At 43.2% G+C, this 23331-nt stretch overlaps 1 protein-coding gene across 3 annotated transcripts in view, besides 2 other annotated features; it reads left to right on the top strand.

Annotated features, from left to right (window-relative positions):
* Window positions 1–23331, top strand: part of PPM1H (protein phosphatase, Mg2+/Mn2+ dependent 1H) — a 291157-nt gene that overhangs the window by 227696 nt on the left and 40130 nt on the right. For all 3 annotated transcript variants that reach the window (NM_020700.2, XM_011538578.3, XM_017019676.3), the window contains exons 7-8: window positions 13456–13519; window positions 17649–17756. In NM_020700.2, the coding sequence (NP_065751.1) occupies window positions 13456–13519; window positions 17649–17756 (172 nt within the window). The remainder of the gene's footprint in view (window positions 1–13455; window positions 13520–17648; window positions 17757–23331) is intronic.
* Window positions 3037–3638: an enhancer, noted in NCBI's record as "H3K27ac hESC enhancer chr12:63097597-63098198 (GRCh37/hg19 assembly coordinates)". NCBI's record gives its function as "activates a minimal SCP1, AML or CMV promoter by ChIP-STARR-seq in primed H9 embryonic stem cells {active_cell/tissue: H9 hESC(primed)}" and the evidence as "EXISTENCE:reporter gene assay evidence [ECO:0000049][PMID:30033119]".
* Window positions 4847–5450: an enhancer, noted in NCBI's record as "H3K27ac-H3K4me1 hESC enhancer chr12:63095785-63096388 (GRCh37/hg19 assembly coordinates)". NCBI's record gives its function as "activates a minimal SCP1, AML or CMV promoter by ChIP-STARR-seq in naive H9 embryonic stem cells {active_cell/tissue: H9 hESC(naive)}" and the evidence as "EXISTENCE:reporter gene assay evidence [ECO:0000049][PMID:30033119]".

The following is a 23331-nucleotide window of genomic DNA, read 5'->3' as shown; positions in this document are numbered from 1 at the left end:
GGGCTGTCAAAGTATTGTGACTCCTGGGCTGCTGGTGGTCTTTGCCCCTGGTTATCCCCTTGCTATTGCTTGGGAATGTCTTTGTCCACCTGCAGTGAGCCAGTGACTGTTCATAAGGTGCCAGTAGACTGGACTGGCAGTGGCTGATAAGGGATGGTAAAGCCTTCAGGTGCAACGGTGGGTCAGGGTCAAATTAGGCCTCCTCTTTTTCCTTTTTGTGCCCATAACCTGGATAGTCCAGGCTTCACACATAGTATAAATACATGGGATAGGTCAGGAGACCATGCTGCCCAGGGCATTTAACTTAATGGTTTCTGATTCCTGCTCATCTTCAGTAAATGCTACACACCCCATCTCCAAGGCCTGATCCTCTGGGTCACATTGGATCACCCTATAGAAAACTGGGCACCTAGGTATGAAAATTTGGAGTCTGAGTTTATTGCACCTGAGCACTTTGAACGTCAAAGCTCAGGTTAAATCTAATTCTATAGTGATCTTGTACATCTGCAGTATTGTTAAGAGACAACCCTAGTTTTCAACCCTAGGAGTACTGGTATGTTTTAACTTCTATGCGACTGACCATTATAAAAACCTAGAATGTGAAGATGAGCTTAAATTTTTTTTTTACAATTTAATTTTAGGAAGAGAATTAATAATTAAACATTCTTTTGCATCTCATGCCATTTTGTGGCATTTATGCAGATTCCTAGCTCTTCACAGAGGCACAGAGAAGCGTGGTTAAGAGTGTAACTGTTGGGACAGACCTGAAGTGAGCTTGACCCCTATTTCCTCCCAGATATATGACCTCTCTTATGCCTCCATTTTCTTATTTGTGTAATGAGGATAATGTTTCTATCTAGCTTACAGTGTTACAGTGAGGATTATGTAAGTTTTTAAAAATATAAATCCTTAGTGCCTGGAACAAAAAGATTGCATAATAAACATTGGGGTATGTGAAAATCCGTTAACTGCTGGGCGTGAGGTGACAGCAGAAAATTTAACAATGGCTGCCTTTGCTCTCCATCCTCTGAAACAACAGGGCCACCTGGATGCAGGAGCTAAGAGTGTGGTATTCCTCCCTTTGGTAAATATCGACAGCTGTTACTCAGGCCTGCGCTTCTTGCCTTGGCGGCCTGAATAATATGGGGGTTAGTAGAAGATTTCAGAAGAGTATGGGAAGCTACAAGATAAGCCTCTATTTCACCTGAAAATTTTGGGAGTGAGGTAGAAGGACTTCATTTGTAGGCTTGTGCAAAACTCTCATGGTTTTTAAAGATAAAACAGAAGACTCAAAGCACTGATACTTGAGATCTGCACCGTGTAATGTTATCAGTTCAAAGGCACTTGGGTGGAAAGCCTTGAAATGATGTAGCATAGGTTAAAGTCCCTGCATGTGGCTTCTCCCAGGGGACACTGCAGGACTCTGCTCCATGATATGAATATCCATCTGAGCAGAGTGGGAGAAGCTTCGTGAGGGAAAGCCGCAAGGGCCGACACAGAGGAACTGCCTGTGCAGCAGAAACCCTCTTTGTAATTAATAATCTGTTTGCTATTTTCACCCCACCATTTGTAGCTATGGGGTCCATTTTGTTCATATCCTGATTTGTATATATTGACTTGATCTCATACAGTATAAAGGGAATGTCAATGAAATTCATGTTTATTTCAGAATAAATGGTCTCTGAGAAAGCTGAAATCACTTCACATTTGTGTGCTCATGAAGTAAGGGTCTCTGATTCATATCGGTGGAGAGAGCTAAATGTTATTGATTAGAATATGAAGCTGTTACGGCCAAGTGTGAATGCACACCAAGTGGATACTGAATCAGAAATAATTTCCAAATCTGGAATTTCCTTAAGAGTCATTCATAATGTTTTATCCTGAAATATTATTAGTTCTGTTTTATACATACACATGATTACTTTTTTTAAAAATACTGATTTTTTTCCAAGTGCATCCTTTTCTGCTGCTGAACTCAGCCTACGAATCAAAAGGTGACTTTCACTTTGTTTACTTTATTCTACTCCGTATACCCAGCACCTGTGCCAGTGCCCGGCACCTACTAGGTGCTCAGTAAATACTTGCAAATGAATCCAATAGAACCCATTGTTTTTATCTGGTCAAAGCCTGAGCTCCTAATTTGGAAGCTACTTAGAGCAGGTTCTGTTCTTCTACCAAACTTTGAGCTGTGGGTAGGGACCCATTCACAGGATTGTGAAATCAGTTTAGTATATGGAGAGCAGCATTTTAAACAAATTGAATAGCACAGGATAGAAAGAAAATATCGGTGTATATCACATAGTTAGGGTAAATATTGTTTTTTGCCGTGTGTTTGTGCATATGTTGGGTTAACAGGATTGATATATTTCTTACCACCGGTGAAACCTCTGCTGTAACCCAGTAGAGTCTCCCAAAGAACATTGACCAGCAAAATGAGAGCAATCTCTGTTGCCTCTTGCTATTTTCCATAGGCCTGGTGAGAAGAAGAATCTTTAGGCCAAAAGAGAGAAATGTTTACTACTCTCAGAACTCCAGGCAGGGTCTGGCTCAGGCGTGCTGATAGGGAGAAGTGGGGAGGTAGGCATTTTCCTAGGGACTGTTGGTTAAACCTACCAATCAGGTGATTTCCTCCAGGGCAGCTGCATTGTCGGGGACCAGAGCTTGGGCCCCATTATGGAGAGTTTTCATGGAGGAAAAAAAGCCAGCAGCCTTTCTTGTGGCTAAGGAGATGAGCAGGTGGTAGCCAGGTATGCACAAGCTAGGCTGCTACCAGCCCTCTTCTGTTTATCACCAAATATTAATCACACTCACAATTCAAAGGTACTATTTGTGCCTGAATCTAACTTGCACTATATTAGCAGAAGTCTATCAGGTTGTTCACAGCTTAAGGCCTATAGGCTTCAACTAATTTAAAGAACACTCCAAGGACCAAAGAAAGAAAACAAGGTAGCATTTGTTTGGAGAGCTTCCATCCCACAGGGTAACTTTCCCAGGGATCATATCATTCAGATACCTACTGAAAATATCTTCCAACACATAAATTCAGGAACCCAATGAGCCAAAATATGACCCCCAAAACTAGATTTATACATACTTAAAGCCTGCTATACAATGATGAGCCTGGGGCGAGATGTTGGGTCCATCTCCAAACATTCTAAGCCCCAAAACTCCCAGCTGGATAGAGGGTGTTTCGCAGCCTCTTCAGACTCACCCTGGGGACTGATCCTTGCTCCACAACCCTGACTTGAGCCTGCTGTTGTTAAGCATGCCTCAGATTCACTCTCCTTCACAGTGCAGCTCTGTCTTTCCAGCAGACAGTTTCCATCCAAAGGCAAAGTGAATCTTAGAAACCGGGAAAAAAAGACTCTAAAAGATGACATTTAAAATATAATAGTAAGATCTAACCAAACATCAGACTCTTCTTGTGTTGCCTTAAAGGACACACACACACACACACACACACACACACACACACACACGCTTTCTCTCTCTTTCATGTAGTGAGGGGGGAAGAGCTGGCTGCCTGCTGTAAGGCCGCTTGAAGGTTCAGAAAGCAGCCTCCATTTACTGAGCACTGTGGTTAGACTTGGGGCCTGATTCCTTTGGAAATACAGATGGCTGGCAGAAAAAAAGGAAGCACGAGGTGGTTGCCAATCCTGCATTGCTTTTTGCAGGAAGGTCTCAGGAGAGTGGGTGTGGGGAGAGGGGAGTCAAGGGAGAGCCTCTGTGGATTCCAGAATTGCTTAACTGGGGTCATGCCAAGCTCTTAAAAGCCACAAGTAGCATTTGGGCTCCAGGCTTATGTCTGTTCCTGTCCAGCCAGGCCTGGGTGGTGTTTCATCCCAGGCCTCCTGAGATTTAAGCTACTGCTGAGATTTTGTTATAGAAAGGCAAGAAGGGGGACCGAAGATGTTTCTGTGCTCCGGCCTCCTCCCAAACCCAACCAGCCCCTGTGGAATGTGCCTCTGCCGGGCTAGGACTTGGTTTCTAATGAGAAGAAAACAAGGCTGCCTGTGGCTTTCTCCTCCCTCCTGGAGGGGCACTGAGCTCCCAGCTAAGGAAAAAAAAAAAAAAAAAGGGCTCCTTTTATGACTATTTCAATCTAACCCAGCTATACCTTCTTTAGATTATTATCTCTGAGGCATCCTTCTGAGTATCTGAGTCCTCATTTTAGAGGAGAACAATGGACTGTTCTGGATAAAGTTGCACGGGTATGCTCCTTCATGCTTACAGTAGAAAAAGTATGAATTAGGTGGCTTGATTGCTCAGCAGGAAGTGGTTTTTCCTACGGGGATGTGCTGTGTCTTCCTGCTTACGGTTGCCTGTTAGCTCTACATCTGCATGGAAGAAAGAATGAGGCTCCGAAGACCTTAATAGCCACAACTGATGGCCAAATAGCACCTTATCCTTCACAAAGGATGTTCCCAGACATGTTTGCCCTTAATCCTTGCAACCATCCTATGAAGTGTCCAGTTGAAGAGGCAGATTCAGTGAGGTCTGAGGGATTTTCCCAGGTTCATACAGCCAGTTCACATGACGATTGAGATGTGACTTCAGAACCTCTGACCCCAAGCCTGGTGTGCTTTAATACCACAGTGGGCTCTGCCAGGAGGGAAGAGAGACTCCAGGAAGGAAGATCCCCAGGGGAGAAGAGGCAGCCAAGGCAATGTCTAGAGATTAGTGGAAGAATGTGACTCACTGGTGTGTGTCATTGGAGCTGCACAAGTGAATTGTTGAGATTATGCTGTCCCCGAAGGGAGCATAATAGGGTCCCCTGTTATACCCCCCGGAGGGGATCACGTTCCTCTCGTTCCTCTTAAATGACTTTGAAGTCTTGCTAAGGGAATTAAGACTTAGGGAAACAAGTGGTATTTCTCTCTCTCTCTCTCTCTCTCTCTCTCTCTCTCTCTGTAGCTCAAGGTCATGACTTAGAAGAGAAGGGAGATCGTGGGAAGTGATTTATGTTGATGATGCCAAAGTGTGAACTCTAGGTTCCTGGCCCATGGGTTAAGCAATCAGAGTAGGGGCTCTTCCTGGAAATGGAGGAATCCAGCAAAGACTAGGAAGAACTTTAAAGGAGGAACTTGCCTTTAAACCAAGTTAGAAAATTGTCTTGGTAACACCATATACACTGGTGAATAGCTGTGGCAAAAAAACTGCCATTCTGACGTGGTACTAAGGAACTGAGAAAGGAATAGACGAGAGAATCATAAATGTTATTTTTTATGATTTTATAACTATTTGTATATATACTAATAATAAAGGGGAACTTGAAATTTTAATATAAGTAGGTAAACATATGTCAGAGGTATCACCAATGGGAACCCAGCCATGAATATTAGCCATAGAAAAGCTAGCTATTAAGGCAGAGTGAATGGGGGATATCTTTAGAGGGAAACTGACATGCTAAGGGAGAGATACCAGCCTTTGTTCATTCATTCATCCATTTAGCTTGTGTCTACTTTATGTCTACCATGTGCTTGCACAATTGTAGATACAAAGATAGACAGGTAAATAGGAAGAAAGTCTGTGCCTTTATGGAGTTAATGTGCAGGATGTTGGGACAGAAGGTAAACAAATTAATAAGAGCATTTCAGATTGTGCTTGAAGCACTGAAGCAGGATGAGCAGGAGCAGAGAACGCCAGACTTGTAGATGAGTGGTCAGGGGAGGCCTTTCCAAGTGATGTCCAGGAGCCAGCATGGCAGGATCAAAGGGAAGAATGGCCCAGACAGAAGGAATGACCAGGCCCCCTGGTGTGTCAAAAAAAAAAAACAAACAAACAAGAAAGCCATTGTTACAAGGCGTAGCAGAGTGATCGACGATGTCAGAGTGCAAAGGCCAGATCATGGAGGGCCTCATCATTGGATTGTATTTTAAGATGACGGGAATTCAGTGGAGAACTTTAAGGTGGAGAGTGATGCTTGTGGATTAAAAGAGAAATGTGGGAGATTTGCTAGCAGGCCTCCCAGCTATGAGGACAGTGTGAGCAAAGCTTTACTGAAGGGATGTATAAAATTGCCACAAAGACAAAGTATGTTTATGGTGGAGAAGTCCTATAACTGCTGCTCATTAGGGTAAAAGGGCTTCGGTGTGGCTGCATGGGCATCTCAAATTCAGATGTTCATAGAGAATGTCTGAGCCTGTAAGGACAGCACCTAGCCCACTAGGGCAAAGGTGGGAAAGGGGTGCTTGTGAGTGAGCATCAGCCGGAACAGCATAGTCAGACATAGAAAGCAGCCGAACAAGGAGACTCTTTGCTTTTGTTTTGCAAATATATTATGGAACAAGAAAATACGAATAAAGCCTCTGCATAGGGAAGGTAGTATTAATTTGCTTGCTTAACCAAATATTTATTGGGTACCCATTATATGTTGAGCACTCTTGTAGGTATAGGAGATGCCATAGGTAGCAAAACAAAAATCTATCCCCATAGAACTTAAAGGGCATGAAGAAGCAGTAGAAAAAATAACCATAGTAAGGAAGTAAAATTCTTTAACTGTTAGGTGGTGGTGGATGCTATGGAAAAAAAATAAAGCAGGAAAGGGGACTAGGAAATTTGGGGGACAGGAACAATGTTAAAGAAGACCATCTGGTTACTTGGCTTTTATTTAGATCGCAATAGAAAACCTTTGATGGGTTTCAGTAGGGTAATGACATGACCTGACATTCTAAAATAATTACTCCAGTTGCTCTGAGAACAGGAGTAAGGGAAAATCAGAACAGTTTTCAACACTCTCACTGCCATCCACCTGGTGACATCATCCTAGCACCATCGCCTCTTGCCTAGATCATTGCACAGAGGCCTGATGGATCCGTCCCAATAATGTAGGCAAGAAACTATGGTGCTAGGGCTCTGACAGCAGGGAAGGTGTTGAAATCTGAGGATTCTGGATTTGTTTGAAAGGTAGAGATGACAGTATTTGACATAATGTTAATAGACAAAATACTCAATCCTTGTTGTGTTACTGGAAAATTGAGAAGGTGACAAGTTCTAGCAAAGAAAAGTATCAAAAAGCTTTGCCACAGGTGGAGACAGGATCAGGAACATGTTTAGCCATAAGGTAGGAAGAATAGCAGGACCAAGGAGAGAAACTGGCCTGAGAGCTTCAACAAGGGAGTGAGAGAGGAAAAATGATTCAGAATTGGAATCTCAGAGGTGGGGGGTGTTCTTGCTGCAGGCCACATGACCAGGGTGATGATGGGGAACAGAGAAGAAGGTCAGCAGGAAGTGAGCTAGGAGTTTTAAAGCGAGGAATCCAAAAGCACCACCAAATTCTAAGAAAATGCTGAGAATGACATCCTGGGAAAGAGTGAAAAAGCAATCTGAACCTAGGCTGAAGTCATCGGGGCAGGTGGGAGAATGTCCTGAAAGGCTGGTGGGTAAGGGAGGGGGATATGAGGCAGATGGAGGGACTGACAGAAGGGCAGTGAGAGAGCCTCAGCCTAGAAGGATGGGGTTGATGTAGGAACTATAAGCATCACTCATGTGCCTTAGGAGCAAGAGGGATTTGAAGGAATGTCGTCCACTGGAGGTGGTATGATCAGGAGAGCCAGCTTAGGTTCAATAAGGCAGGCTCAATTAGTAATCTGTTCTTGTTGGGTAAGGTTCCTAGATTGGGTGAATACTGTATGCATAGATATATTCTGAGTTTGTAAGAAATCGGATTGTTTCTTCTCTCAGCCTTTTGGACAAGATGGAGAAATACTGAGTGGATAATGGTTCAGTTAAGTTGCTTCATAGATAGCCCAAGAGCTATTCCAGGAGAGTTGAAATCCATGAGGACAGTGTCCATCTGGATCAGTGTTGACAGCCTTTTTAAATCCTAAACACCTCCTCTTTAAACATTAATATCTCATTGTCCACCCTCTACTGTTGAGTCTGTCTTCTGTGCTTCTCCACCAGACAAGATTCTGCCGAGCTTTATACCATCTGTTTTTTGTATTGAAAAGGAAATTGCCCGGTGTAGTGGCTTACGCCTGTAATCCCAGCTCTTTGGGAGGCCAAGGCAGGCGTATGACCTGAGGTCAGGAGTTTAATACCAGCCTGGCTAACATGGTGAAATCCCGTTTCTACTAAAAATACAAAAAATTAGCTGGGGGTAGTGGCGCACGCCTGTAATCCCAGCTACTCGGGATGCTGAGGCAGGAGAATCACTTGAACCCAGGAGGTAGAGGTTGCAGTGAGCCAAGATCGCACCATTGCACCTAAGCTTGGGCGACAAGAGTGAAACTCCATCTCAAAAAAATAAATAAATAAAAATAAAAAATAAAAAGGAAATTGATAGGTTCTTCATTTTCATGAAAAAGGATACTGCTGAATTTGATGTTTTTGAATTGCTTTCCTTCACATGCCTGAAATGTTGCCACCCCCCTTGTGTGGTTAGCTTGGCCAGTAGGAAGGTCTCTAATGATTCCACTTAGCAATTTTTTCAGTGATGTGGATGAAGATGGCAGGGCTGCTTATCAAATTTAACATGATATAGCATAGACAGCTGATATTTTGGATGGAAGGATCTGAGTTCAGGAAGTTGTCAGTGAGTTGGAACAATGGACTAAAACTAACAAGATAAAATTAATAAGGGCAATGGAGTCCTCCCTTCAGGGTAAAATATCTATTGTGTGTGTCATTATAAACTAGAGGAGACCATGAGCCAAAAAAAACATTCTCAGGTCTTTTTTCTTGTGGACTAGGGTTTTTCATTTGTTTTCATTCAGAGTCTCCATATGTAACCCTAAAAAAAAATACACATAATGGAAATAGCTTTGTTAATTTTTAAAAAATGCAAGGCCCAAATCAAAAGAAGTAATAATTTTTTTTCTTATTTGGACCACATCTTAAGTGTTTTCAGTTCCGGGTACCATTTTTTGAGGACACTGGCCAACCAGAAAGACCCTAGAGGGCCACCACCACAGTATTCAGTGCTCAGTTACTGTTTGTTGGATGCATGGGGACTAGAGTGGTTAGGATCCTCCAGGTCCTGTGAAGAACAGTTGAAAGAACTAAGGAAAAGGAAACTTTGAGATAGTTCTCTTTAAACAATTGAAGAGCTCTCAAGCAGAAAATAGTCTGGATTTATTTCATGTTTTTCCAGATGGGCCAGCGGGTTTGGGTCAGTTTAAGAAAGAATTTCCCAGAGCTGTTCTCCAATGGAATGGGCTGACATTAAGTACCGTTAAACTCCTAGGACAGTGACTTTCTGTGGCAGTCCATTCAGGAGAGGCCAGGAACCAAGGTTAGGTGTATTGTAGAAGGGATTCCTACACTTGGGGTACAGCTGTCTTGGTGGCATTTCAGTCTTATTGCTGAACTGCTCCTTCCAGGAAGTCCAAACCAACAGTGGCTTTTTTTTTTACAGCTTTGCACAATCAACATTACAAAGGAAACTATTACTTTAAAAAAGTATTTAATGGAAACTTCTGAGAATAATGCCTCTCAGTTTGGGAAAGCCAAGAATTTAGCAACCCTTTTAAGCCTTGCATTTTTTTTCTCATCTAAAAAAATGATTCAGTTGGCCTCATAAATACTCATTAAGGAATTGGCCCAAAATATTAATAAGAGTTTGTCTAGAAAATCTTTCCTAAGCCTTTCAGTTTTGCTATCTCGTAACAAATAATATAATCTCTGGTCAGTCATATTATTGTAAAACTAGCGAGTGATTTGTTTGGGGCGCTAGTTCTTAAAAATTTAATTAGGATTTCAAAAATCTTAGGATGTGGTGTAGAAGAATTGGTTCTATGACTAGACACTCTCTATTCATCTCAAATCCAAAGTACCTTCATGTCTTGGAGCTCTCAAGCTTCACTCTCCTATCTTCCCCCAAATGAGAAAGAAGGAAGCCAAGGACAAGCTGGAAGCATAAATTCAAGCCTATAGCCTTGACATGGACTATAATATAAAACAGACAGGCCTTCCAAGTGGGCCAGAACTTAGATGGCCTCCTTAAACTGAGAGCAGTTTGAGGAAAGTCTGTTCTCTGTGGGAGGGGGCTTGGTTGACTCTGTGGTCACTCATTGCTGGCGAGATGGCCAGAAAAGCAGCTGCAGGTCTAAGAACATGGATCAATCCCAGCATTTTGGGAGGCCGAGGTGGGCAGATCACCTGAGGTCAGGAGTTCAGGACCAGCCTGGTCAACATGGTGAAACCGTATCTCTACAAAAATTAGCTGGGCACGGTGGCACTCACCTGTAATCCCAGCTACTTGGGAGGCTAAGGCAGGAGAATCGCTTGGACCTGGGAGGCAGAAGTTGCAGTGAGCCGAGATCGCACCATTGTACTCCAGCCTGGTCAACAGAGCGAGACTCTGTCTCAAAAAAAAAAAGAACACAGACCATCACTTCTGCTGACTTTCCTCTCTTCTTCTCTGTAGACCCAGTACCGTAGTAGCCACTAGTTTTGTACAAACATGACCCCTTTTGTTCTTTTGCCACTCACACAGAAAATTCCCCTTCCTCTTTTGCCAAAAGTCTTCTTTTCTTCATCAGATATCAGCTGGTCACCCGAAGAGAGTGGACAATAATGGTCTCATTTCAGACTCGGACTAGAATGAGAAATTCCCAAAGCTAAGTCCTGATATCACATTTCTTTGTCATGTTTTCCGGAAAAGTCCAAGTCCGGTTTTAAGGCCACTCCACCTTTTTGGTCTGGGAGGAGTAACTTAACCTCTCTGGGCTCAGTTCTCTCCTCTGTAAGACAGGACATTATAAGGCCATTGAGAGATTTTAGATACTATAAGTCAGCACAGAGCCTGGTGTCTGGCATGTAGAAGATGCTCAGTAAATCATAGCTGCTGTGATTACTATTAGCTATTATTAATTTATACAGACTCTAATCAAGTTGCCAGTTTTAACTCTTGAGTACTATATTTTATACTTTATTACTCAAGGCTTTGTAACTATGGATGGAAGTCCACTTAACTTTATATGATGATCTGTGCTTAGGATTCAGAAAGATGGAGGGGGAGAAGGTGTTGTACTTTTCCTCCTCATTGGTGCTATTCCCCCTTGTCGTTAGTTGCTGGGGGAGAGGGAGTGCTCATAGTTGATTGAAAACCAACACTGGCGGGGCAGAATAAACCTTCCTTTTCCACCATTGTTTCTATTTCTAATGTTTTGTTGTTCCTGAAGATAAGCAGAAGCTAACATATAATATTAAAATTTGCATTTGGTTTGGTCCTGTGGGTAACAACTCTAAGTGTGTGTCTTTCAGAGTTGTGGGACATGGACTTCGTGCTCCTGCAACACTCTGCCATGTGAGAATTCAATGACCCGGCTTGTGATAGAGCAGTTTTCTTACTACTTCTCTAAGCCTGTTAAGAGTGCTCTTCGCCTGTCTCTATTAAGCTCTAGGTAATACCCAGTCATTGGTTCTAGAGCTGCAGCCTTCTGCCTCTATTTAATTCTAGCCTTCTAGCTCTATTTAATTCCTGTGAATGTCTAGTCATAGACCCAACTCTTCTACACCAGATCCAGGCTCCTCCTGTGCCTGGATCTCAAGGCCCAGCCCCTTTCTACATCTGGTCTCCACTGCTGCATCCTCTCTGTGCGGGCCTGTCTCCTCACTCTCCACATGGGGTCTTCAATCCCTGTTCACGCTCATCTCAGGGCCTTTCTCAGGCCATTTTCCTCCTCTCCCTTGAGCCATGTAGTCTGTTGTCTTAAGGGTCAAGCTGATAAGGGGCTAATTGCTGAATCATTTTGAATGGTAGTTAATTGATGCTTGATGTATAGTAGTGGATCTCAACCTTGGCTGCACATTGGAATCACCTGGAAAGCTTTAAAAAACCCAAATTCTTCTAATAATAGCTTTATTTGTTCCCCCCCCAAACTCATATACCACAGTGTTTAAAATAGCTCATGTGAGTATGTAAAAACATCAAAGTGGTTATTTCCACTTTGTGTTAGTTTGGTAGATTTGGGGGAAGGAAACAGTATATTTCCTTTTTTGAAAATTCAATTCCTAGAATACCTCTCAGCTCACTCAACAGCAGCAGCATTTGTTTTGCCAGGCACAGTGCTAAGTACCTCCTAAGCTCTCCACATTCATTTCCCTATTTTAATCTTTGCAATAATCTCACGAATGAGCCCCAGATTTTGCCCTAATTGATTAATGAGGATCCTGAGGGACTGAGAGCACATCTACTTGTGCAGGGCTATACCAAAGGCATTGCTGAACTCCAGCTCAGGCACATCTGGTGCCAAAACCTCACTGATTCTCCACCCCATGGGAAGGACACCTTACCATGTAACTTTCTGAGGATGGACCTGCTTTAACTTTGGGGTTGCATGCTTTTTAAATTTAGTTACATTCTTTTGTACCTCAAGAGCTTCCATAAATTTGATTTCAGACTCACTCCCAAGCAGCCTAGATATGTCCAGGAATGGCAGGCCATTTAATAAATTAGGATTTTTAATGCACTCAGGAGATGTTGTTGTAGAAAAGCATCTACTTATAGCACCTAATTCAGCAGAACCTACCCTATCTTTTACTTAGTCTTTTAAATAACTTTGAAGTTATGAGCAGTGTTATCCCCATTTTGCAGAAAGGGGAACCGGTATGCCACGTAAGTGTTAATTATCTACTAAGTATTAGTAATAACTGCCACTAAGTGGGCTCTTACTAAGTGCAGGCTCTGTACTGAGCTCTTTGTATCCTGTGTATTAGCCTCATTGTACAGATGAGGAAACTGAGACTGAAAAAGGTGAAGCTACATGCTCAAGGTGATAAACAGCTGTAACTGGGCTAACAGTTGTTTGTTCGCTTGTTTGTTTTTTAACTTGGTTATAAGCAAAATTGCAAGACATGGTCTTCATCAGCTCTGTCCCTTTCATCTTACCCGCCTCCGCTGTGCAGGCTGTGGCACTGGAGAACCCTATCTGGAATAAACCATTGAGGCATAAACTGAAGGTTCTTTCTGTGTATTGAGTGGCTATTTAAAAGCTATTGTGAAACAAAGAATGTTTTACCAACCTTGCATATTATATAGAGGACAAACAGGCTCGAAAGATTTCTTCCCTAGCCATCCCAATACAAGGCTGTTTTGGTATAAACAACCCCTGAAGGTGAGAACTGGCTCTCGAAGCAGTTTCACACTCCATTCATCTCTGAGCTCTGCTGTTTCTCACAGTTTTGGATTCGTGATGAGAATACTGTTGCTGGGTCACTTCATTATTACACAGACCCTAAGGCCAGAAACCCATCTCCCCTTTTTGCTAATTATGCATATGCCAACTTATTTCCTCCCTCTTCAAGCATATAAAGACAGTATTTTCTGGTTTGGTAAAAGACACACACACACAATTCTGTAGGGAGAACAACTCCCTATAAAGGAAGAGGTAGTCAGTGTGGTGAGTGGATGGGGTCTCAGGGAAAATGAAATCCCTAGCAGTCGGTGTCAGGGCAGCAGGTCACTAATTGAGTGCAAACCTTTTTTAAAATGTTGTTTATCCCCTACAGGGCATACAAAACCATTGAGGATGAGGACTTGAAGTTCCCCCTTATATATGGAGAAGGCAAGAAGGTAGGCACGTGTGCTTCCCCTGGGTAGAGAGGACAGGGCTCTGTCCCGCCTTCGCTCCACATAGCCCGTGGCAGTCCGTGTGTTCCACTCAGCAGCTTGTGATTTTATAGCCTTGACAGCTTGAAAGCATATCCCATCCATCATCCTTCAGGCCTCCTGTCTTCAGGGTCCAAGGAGTAGTGGGGGTGGGAGGTGGGCGGTGAGCACAAGGGACTCAAGCCAATTTTGTGAAAATAAAGTCCCCCTTCCCAATCCATTTGAATAACTTTTTACAGTGTTTAAACATGAACCACTTTCACACACATCATCTCATTTATATCTGACAACGAGCAAGGAGGCAGGTCAAGCTGGCTGTGTTATATCCATCTGGCAGACGAGGCAGCTGGGACTGTGAGGTTAAAACAGCTCAGGCAGATCACGCAGCCAAGCGAGGGGCAGCTGCGGATGTGGTGCCTTGGCTTTCTGTCTGCTTCGCGCGTCTCAGACTCCACCATGGAAGTCCAGACTTTGCAAGTCTGTTTGCCACTTGCCCCATGGAAGAGAGTCCAAAGCGTCACTGTAATTAGACTATAAGGTCACAGCAACCAGAGTCCAGACTAAGATAACAAAGACCATCATCAGCTCCCAGGGTTCCAGTCAGAATCCAGCACTGAACAGCACGTTGTCGAACCAAAGAAAAGCTGTGGATCCTAAAGTGGTCTCTGAGCAGAGGCCTGGAGGAGGTTGAAATCCTGGAGTGGAGAGCAAGAAGCTTGGAATCTATTTCCTAGTAAGAACAAACACCTTCTGAATCATTGCATTCTTCCTCGGAACACTAATACATTTCAACTCGGTGTGAAGCATTCCAAGTGAAAAATGTGGTCACATTGAGAAGAGTCTTCAACTGATAATTTTTCCAGCATTCGATACGATAGTTTTTATCAAGAAGAAATGACTCAGAAGAAAACCAAAGGATGCCTTCCATGGGCAGAGTGTGTGTGTGTGTGTGTGTGTGTGTGTGTGTCAGAGCAAAAGCAAGAGAACAAACATGGTTAGGTTTTGGGCTCCGTGTAGACCAGCAGTGATTTCAATGCAAAAAGACATCTCAACAGAAGGAGGAATACCAAACACAAATATCTGATCCATGTAGGAATCATTTTTTAAACGAACATACCCCATTCATGAAAATGAACACCTTTCAGATCACAGTCTCTGGTTAAGAATCGTGTCAGGGCTAATAGGCACTGTTCTGATATAAATATTTGTGCCTTTTGGTACAATGGGCACCATTAATGAGTATCATTCAGCCCAATGACCTATGCCTGCAGCTCCATTTCTTTGTGGGGCTGAGATTCTCTGTATTACCCTTTAATATCCAGTGAGTTCCAGTAAACTCAGGAACACATTCTGTTACCCCTGTATCTCTAGTTCCTGTCTAGCCTGGTACCTGACATAAATGCATAAGTATTAAATAAGCTGTTCAGTTATGTTCAGTATACTTTCCTTAGTACAATAGGAAAATGGAATGATGTATTCTTGGAAGTTTATAGCAGTAAGATTTGAAGGAGCAAGAGTTTTCTAATTTTAGTATAAAGTTCAATTCACCAAAACATCATGTTCCTCAAGCATTTCAGGTAATTTAAGCTTGATGGTCTTGCGATGGGCAGGTGGCAAGTTCTGTCCGTGTACCTGTTGGCCTATTTAAAAGCCACCATGTCTCCATTTTGCTTTTGTTGGTAGATACCACCCCTTTCTGAGGACTCCATGAGTTCTTGGAGCTCCTTCTAGATCCTGGACTGGGATTTTCTCTTTCTTCTCCGCGTACCCCTACGCAGAAATTTCAGAGTACTTCTGTGGCCATTACTTCTCATTTTCTTTCTTCAGATGCTTTTAAAGACTGGTGTGGGTAACACCTGGATACTTCGTAAACAAGGTCAGTCACTAGCAGAAACATCAGATTTCTTTGGCTGGAAAGAGCACACAGAGAAGCCGCCATTTCAGGGAGGAGAGCAGGAGAGCCACAAGGGACTCAGAATTTTTCACATTTAGAGTTGAGCACTTCTTGGCTAGAAGGGAGCCAGTCCAGCCTCCCAGCAGGGCAGAGGGCCCCAGGCTTTGCTTTGCATCACTTTTTTTTTTTTTTTTTGAGACATGGCATCAGGCTGGAGTACGGTGGCACAATCTCGGCTCACTTCAGGCTCGACATCCCAGGATCAGGTGATCCTCCCACTTCAGCCTCCTGAGTAGCTGGGACTACAGGCGCATGCCACCACACTGGCTAATTTTTGTATTTTTTGTAGTCAGGAGGTTTTACCACATTGCCCTGGCTAGTCTCAAACTCCTGGGCTCAAGTGATCCTCCTGCCTTGGCCTCCCAAAGTGCTGGGATTACACATGTGAGCTACTGTGTCTGGCTGTGTCTCGTGTCTTTATCCCCTCTGACCCTTGCCCTCAAAAAGGTGTCATGGTTTCATTTCTGCTTAATGTGAACTCTGCCTACCTTCCGAACCAAGGCTGGCTTCAAAATTCACAGCCCTGTTGACAGTCTAGGATGAAGATGAAGACAATATATTAAATTGCAGTGTTTCTTAGCATTTATTTACTTCATCCCCACTCATAGGAGGTAATTACTCTTATCACCCAGGTAATAGAGTGAGGATTCAAGCTCAGGTCTTTGAACCATTTCACTACACCGGATATATTTTTTATGATTAAGGGTTAGGACACTGCTTTCTTCCACCCAGGATGACTTTCACTCCATCCCTCTGTGTCGCCTGTCTTGATGCAATCCACCTTTCTGTGCTAAGTGCCACCTCCTCCGTGGAGCCTTCTCAGTAGAATTTTTACCTCCTCTAAACTTGCATAACCCATTGTCTATGTGTTTTTCAGTACTTAACCATATTTTATGTGTTATTAATTACACATCTCCCTCTTATCTCCCTTACCAAGTTTCTTTTTGGTTTTTTTATTTGTTTGTTTGTTGGTTTGAGACTGAGTCTCACTGTGTCACCCAGGCTAGACTGCAGTGGCATGATCTCAATTCACTGCAACCTCCACCTTCCAGGTTCAAGTGATTCTCATGCCTCAGCCTCCAAGCAGCTGGGATTACAGGTGCCCACCACCATGCCTAGCTAAATTTTGTATTTTTCGTAGAGATGGGGTTTCACCATGTCAGCCAGGCTGGTCTCAAACTCCTGACCTCAAGTGATCCACCTGCCTCAGCCTCCCAAAGTGCTGGGATTACAGGCAAGAGCCACCGCACGTGGCCCCAAGTTTCTTTGTAGTAGGGACGAGGCCTTAGACATTTGTGTCCCCAACATATGATGTAAGTACATAGTAGGCACCCAATAAATGTTTGGGTAAATCAGATCTTCAGCATAACAGGAGATATTTAAGCTGACTGTGTAGGCATTGGTGTAATAGTGTTACTTCCTTACACCATTCAAAAACAGTTCAGGATGAGGTCTCAGCCCTGAGGCCTCTGTGTAGCTATGTCACAGCACTGGTGACATTTTGTTCCTTTCCACCCAGAGGGAATTTGTGGAGATCTTAGCAGGATAGGTTATAGAGTTGATAAGTTTCTTTTCTCCAGCCATAAAACATAATAGGTGAACTCTGGGAGGGCAAGAGCTATTTCTGATTTTTTACACCTTTTACTAGTACATATCACAGGACTAAGGACATAGCTGGTGTTGAGCAAATACTTGTACAGTGGATATGTAACAGAAAGATTGGTGGGTGTGTGGATGGGTGGGTGGATGGATGGATGGATGGATGGATGGATCGATCAATCCTATTGGGTTTGATATGAACTGATTTCTGCAGCTGTAGACGTCACGCATGCATTGGAGTTAGTTTATTGGACATCCTTCCTTCCAGTCTCCAAAAAAAGAAAGCTGAAAAGAAACAGCAGCAACCTGTCAAGCTTAAGATAATGGATAGAAAAAGCACTCCTCAAATACAGAAGTGATTTTGGTGAGCCCTTTCTTGGTAAGAGCTATCCACGTATGTTAGCAGCAAGGGGCCTGGAAACATATCTGGGCAGGAGGAACTGGAAAATTGTTTGGTTGTTCCTAGCCCAGGCAGCTGCACTGGAATGGGATGCTTTCACTGTGTGCGTGTTTCTGATGACCCTCTGCTTATACTCCTAGGCCCGGGTAATGGCAACTATTGGAGTGACCAGGGGACTTGGGGACCATGACCTGAAGGTGCATGACTCCAACATCTACATTAAACCATTCCTGTCTTCAGCTCCAGAGGTACCGCATGAGGTTTTTGTTTATATTTTGTGCAATAAAACATTTTCGGCGTTATTCCTCCTGTGACTCACACCCCATATCCAGACAGTAGCCAACTTGTATTATATGTACTTCCACTGTATCTCTCACGTCTGTGTCTTTTTCCCACTCCATTCTCACTTTGACTCTTCTGGTTCACACCTTCATCACCTCTTACCCAGATGGCTGCACAGCCTCCTCCTGACATTTTCTAAGTCTGCCAATCCATGCTACTTATTGCAGTCAGGTAAATTTTCCTTAAAAACTGACTCCTAATTGCTCAGAAACCTTCAATGGCAGCCCAGGCATGGAGAGTAAAGCTCAGACTCCCATTCACTTGGTGTTCAAGGCTTATTATAATTTGGTCTGGACTTCTCTGATCTTTGTTCTCCTGCACCAGCCAGAATGAACTTGCTGTTTCCCTTACATGACCTTAGGTTTCCCATATTTGCTTAAACTATTCCTTTTGCCAAGAATGCCCTTTCTCCCCAACTCCAAACATCCAAATTCTTTTTTTCTCTGGAGTTTAGCTTAGATGCTTTTTTATGGAGAGTTCCCTGATTTCTTCCTTGCCCAACCAGAAGTAATGTCTCTCCCTACTTGGGATATACATAGAGCACCTTCCACGTACAGTGTTTTCACTGTCTGCCTTCGGTCACAGTTGTTTTGTTTTGTTTTGTATTTTGAGACAAAGTCTCGCTCTGTCGCCCAGGCTGGAGTGTAGTGGCATGATATCGGCTAACTGCAACTTCTGTCTCCTGGGCTCAAGTGATTCTCCTGTCTCAGCCTCCCGAGTAGCTGGGACTACAGGCACACACCACCATACCCAGCTAATTTTTGTATTTTTAGTAGAGACAGGGTTTCTCTATGTTGGTTAGGCTGGTGTTGAACTCCTGACCTCAAGTGATCCACCCGTCTCAGCCTCCCTAAGTGCTGAGATTATAGGCGTGAGCTACCACACCTGGCCTGATCATAGTTATTTATGTATACCTTATCCCCTCGTTAGACTAATTACCTGAAGAGCTTCTGTCATTCAGCTGATGTTTAGAGAAGTTAATTTACAAACAAGTTGGTCATATATTTGGTTTAAAAAAAATCATGTGTCTTACCATATAGGAAACAGTATCGATTTCTATGTTGACTTTCTGGATATATCATTTAGAAATTTTTTTGCTTCCAAATTTGGAAAAGTCTAACCGATAGTATTAGGTTGGTGCAAAAGTAATTACAGTTTTTGCCATTTTTTTTTTTTAATTACTTTTGCAACAGCCTAAGAGTTTAAAGGTAAATTTTTCTCACCCAGTAAGAAGGCTGAAATCTGGTGGCTGCTGGCGTTGGTTCAGCACCTCCATTGTGTCAGGGCTGTAGCGTCTCTGCATTTCTTTGACTTTCCCTTCATGGTTACAAGGTGGTGGCAGTAGGTCCAAGCCTGACATTTCTATGCAAAGATGGAAAGGAGGGGCAGCCTCTGTCCCAACAGATATTCACTTGCCTCTCATTGGCCAGAACTGTGTTACATGACCTTCTAGCTGCAAGGGAGTTTGGGAGAGCAAGAGTTTTAACTCTCCCAATTTCGATAGTAGAAGGAAATCAGGAAGGCATAAGTCAGGAACCAATAGCATTTACTACAATGTGTAATTAAGGTTTTTTGTTTCTTTTTTTTTTTTTTTTTGAGATGGAGTCTCACTCTGTTGCCCAGGCTGGAGTGCAGTGGTGCAATGTTGGCTCACTGCACCCTCCACCTCCCAGATTCAAGTGATGCTCCTGCCTCAGCCTCCCAAGTAGCTGGGATTACAGGTGGGCACCACCATGCCTGGCTAATTTTTGTATTTTTAGTGGAGACAGGGTTTCACCATGTTGGCCAGGCTGGTGTTGAATTCCTGAGCTATAGTGATCCACCTGCCTCGGCCTCCCAAAGTGCTGGGATTGCAGGCATCAGCCACTGCGGCTTGCCTGTAATTAAGCATTAAAATAATTCCTTGGACTGGAAATGCTCAGAACATTTAGACATAACTCTATTTGCATGTACTTCCCAAGAGCAGGTGCTGTTTTAACAAAGACTATTTTGGTCAGAGGAAACAGAAACTTACTAGAGCTAACTCAAAAAAAAAAAAAAAAGTACTGCAAGAAGGCCGGCTATGGTGGCTCATACCTGTAATCCCAGCACTTTGGGCGGCTAAGGCAGGAGGATTGCTTGAGACCAGCATGGGCAACATAGCAGGACCCTTGTTCTTACAAAAAGTAAAAAATTAGTTTGATGTGGTGGCACATGCCTGCCCCAGCTACTCAGAAGGCTGAGGTGAGAGGATTGCTTGAGCCCAGGAGCTCGAAGTTGCAGTGAGCCATGATTGTGCCATGACACTCCAGCCTGGGTGGCAGAGTGAGACGCTGACTCAAAAAAACAATAGTAATAATATTAGAAGAGATATTTATGGTGTCCATGAGCAGAATGATTGAACAGCCAGGCTTTATGGGAAAGTGGTTTTGAAATCAAGGCAGCCCTGCAAAGCCTCCACAGCGGAAAGCTCTCAGCCCTCACATGGAGTTCTGCCACTGATGTGGCCAACCACATTCTTTATGGCTCTGCTACCAATCAGCCCAGTTTCTCACTCTCCCAATTCCACATTTCCGGAGAGGAGTCTGGTTGGCCCAGTTCACCTTTTATATCAGACTAAAGTGACTTCCCAGCCTGTGTATTTGTCCCTTCAGATTATATGTCCACTTCAGTACCCTTTATGGGCACAAACAGTCACCTAGACCCACCACTTTGGCGGAGCTGTGAGCCAGGGAGTGGTTTCCTTAGGGTTTTTTAGAGCTGGGCTGGCATCCATAGTACATGTAGATAAAAGGGACTAAGAAGCCACTGAAAGAGAAAACTCTAGTAAATGTTGGGCATGGAAGATACACACATTTCCTGGTATCACCCAGGATTTCAAGTGAGGTCAGCTCGGTAGAAATAATAATTACCATTTGTCAAAATTCTGCAAGTGTTCTCTCTTGAGTCCTCATAGCAATTCTGCATAATGAAGACCATGACTACATTAGGTGTCCAAAGTTCCCCCTAGAAGCTGGTGGATTCCTTCCCAACATCAGGATCCGTGAATTACTGCTAAAACTACTTCTCACCAGAGAAGAGCAATAAATGTCGGACCTCCAACTCTCTTTTTGAATGCCATTGAGCACAGGGCTTGTAACTGGACTCGTGGACTTTTCTATTCTCCCCCTTACAAGAGAGGCATTTGTCAGATAACTTAAATGTTGCCTTCACCTTTCTACTTTCCAAAAAGCATCCGTAAAGGTCTTGATTTTGCTCCTTAAAGCAAAGTAAAAACCTCCTTCTCCACCTCCCTTTCTCACATTTACTTTTTATATAAAATGAGAAGCAGCAGCTCCACTTGGCTTGAAGGAGAGTGCTCTGTATGCATTAGATTTTAGATCTTCCAATCTCTCTGCTACTGCAGATCTCAGGAAGGGACTGTAGGTTTAAAACTTGGGCCTGCATGGAAGAGTCCCTGAGAACTCGGTAAGAATCCCAGGTGGTTGGTGAGAAACCTTATGTCACCTCGCTGAATGATACTGGTTTGTAGGACACTGAGTTGGTCACTTCAGCATTCGTGGGAGTGGAGAGGATTTAGAATGAAACTGTCAACCTCTGCAAAAATTTAAATGCTCTTAGAAAAGTTCTAGAGTTGAATAAAGTGTGGCAGTTTCAATAATAATAAAACTAATTGTTATTAACTACTTAGTCTGGGTGAGACAACATACCAAGTTTATTTTTAATTGACAAATAATTATGTATATCGATGGGATATAGTGTAACGTTTTGATATATGTTTACATTATGGAATGACTAAGCTAATTAACATATTCATCACTTCATATACTTATCATTTTTTGTGGTGAGAACTTTTAAAATCTACTCTTAACAATTTAAAAATACACATTATTATTAACTGTGGTCATGCTGCCATGCAATAGATCTCTAAAACTTATTCCTCCTGTTTAACTGAAACTTGGTATCCCTTGACCAACACCTCCCTATCTCCATGCAACAAATTAAGGTTTTTACAGGACACATCTCATTTAATCTTCACAACAACACTGTGAGGTAAGTATAGTTATTATACCCAATTTACAGATTGGGAAATTGGAACCAAGGAAAGTAAAATAACCCCCAAAGTTATACAGTTAATAAGTAGCAAGCTGGTACTTGTACCCAGGTCTATTTAATTAGATCAGGTTCTGTAGGGGAGAGAAGCCAAATTCAAGGAAATTTATTTGGTCAGTGTTTAGGGACGTACCAAGTACTGGTTCAAGGGGCTCTGATGAGGGTGCATTTGTCTTAAACCTAAGAGAGCAACTTTGTCTTGGGACCTTGGGGGCCAGAGTTTCCCAGAGAAATACTATTGGCCTCAGATTGAAGTTGTGGAAAATGATGGTATAGTAGAAAGGGTAATTGGGAAAGACAGTAATGGCCTTTGTTGTGTGTGCAAACCGAGACCAGACAGAATTGTGCAAAGTAACACTGTGCACCTATAATTTAGCTTAATGGGTATGTAGTGCGTCTAAGATTCTCTTGCACAAGATTAAAATTGTTGTACATGTTAAATGTTTCCAGATGGAGAGGCCTCCACCAGAGCCAGGAAGGGGTGGCGGGGGGAGGGGGTGGAACTGTTAGAAGGGAAGCGGAAGAGCAGCTTGAATTGGCTACTATGGAGGAGAACACAAGGGAAAAAAATAGGTACAAGGAACCCCCTGTCCACAATTTTTGGAGCAGGAACCCCCTTTCCCTGGGTGGTAGTGACAAAAGCATTCCCATGAGAAGTGGCCTCTGTTGGGAGCCTAGAAAGCTCGATTAACATACTGAAACCACCTAAGGAAGAATAACTGACCCACTTCCTCTCTCATTATCCCATCCTGGGCCCACCTTCTTTCTGTGACTCCCTAAGAACATTCCCCTGCTATGTTCTGTCTTTGCCAGGCGTGGATCTTTATTTCACATTTGGGTTCTAAATTTCAAACCCAGCTCAGTCTGGTAGTTTTAACAGTTGTAGGGGGCTGGGGGTGGAATGTGTTTGAATTCTGAGAAAAAGTGCGCAAAAATCTTCTTGGAAATCAGCATTGTTCCCATTCATCATTGTGGCTCCTAATTTGATTTGATGAGTTAAATAGAAATAAATCAAAAACATGTGGATCAAATTTATGTTAAAAAAAAAGAAACTCACAGGAGTTTAAAAATTAGTGAAGGGTTTCTAGCCAAACACATTTTCAGTTTCGCTGAACACAAGGCGCTGGAAAAATCTCGAGTTTGCCAAACCCAAAGAGCAGCCGCCAGGTTTGCTGAGCTTCTCTCAAACCTTCCCCAGTCTAAGGCAGGGATTTCTGGCCAAGAACTGAATTCCAAGAGAGGCCCTCACCACCAGTCGAGCACAGGCCTGTTGTCTGGAGGTGTGGGTTGAGTGTAGGGGATGTTTTGACTCCCCTCTAGCCTACAGTGCCTGGTTTTTTCTGCCTAACAGCATAGAGTGCAGCCTCTCCCCCAGCATAAGGAAAATGT

This window comes from Homo sapiens, chromosome 12, assembly GCF_000001405.40.
Source record: "Homo sapiens chromosome 12, GRCh38.p14 Primary Assembly".
NCBI lineage: Eukaryota > Metazoa > Chordata > Mammalia > Primates > Hominidae > Homo > Homo sapiens.
The sequence above is the reverse complement of the archived record's forward strand: the minus strand, read 5'-3'. Positions and strand labels throughout refer to the sequence as shown.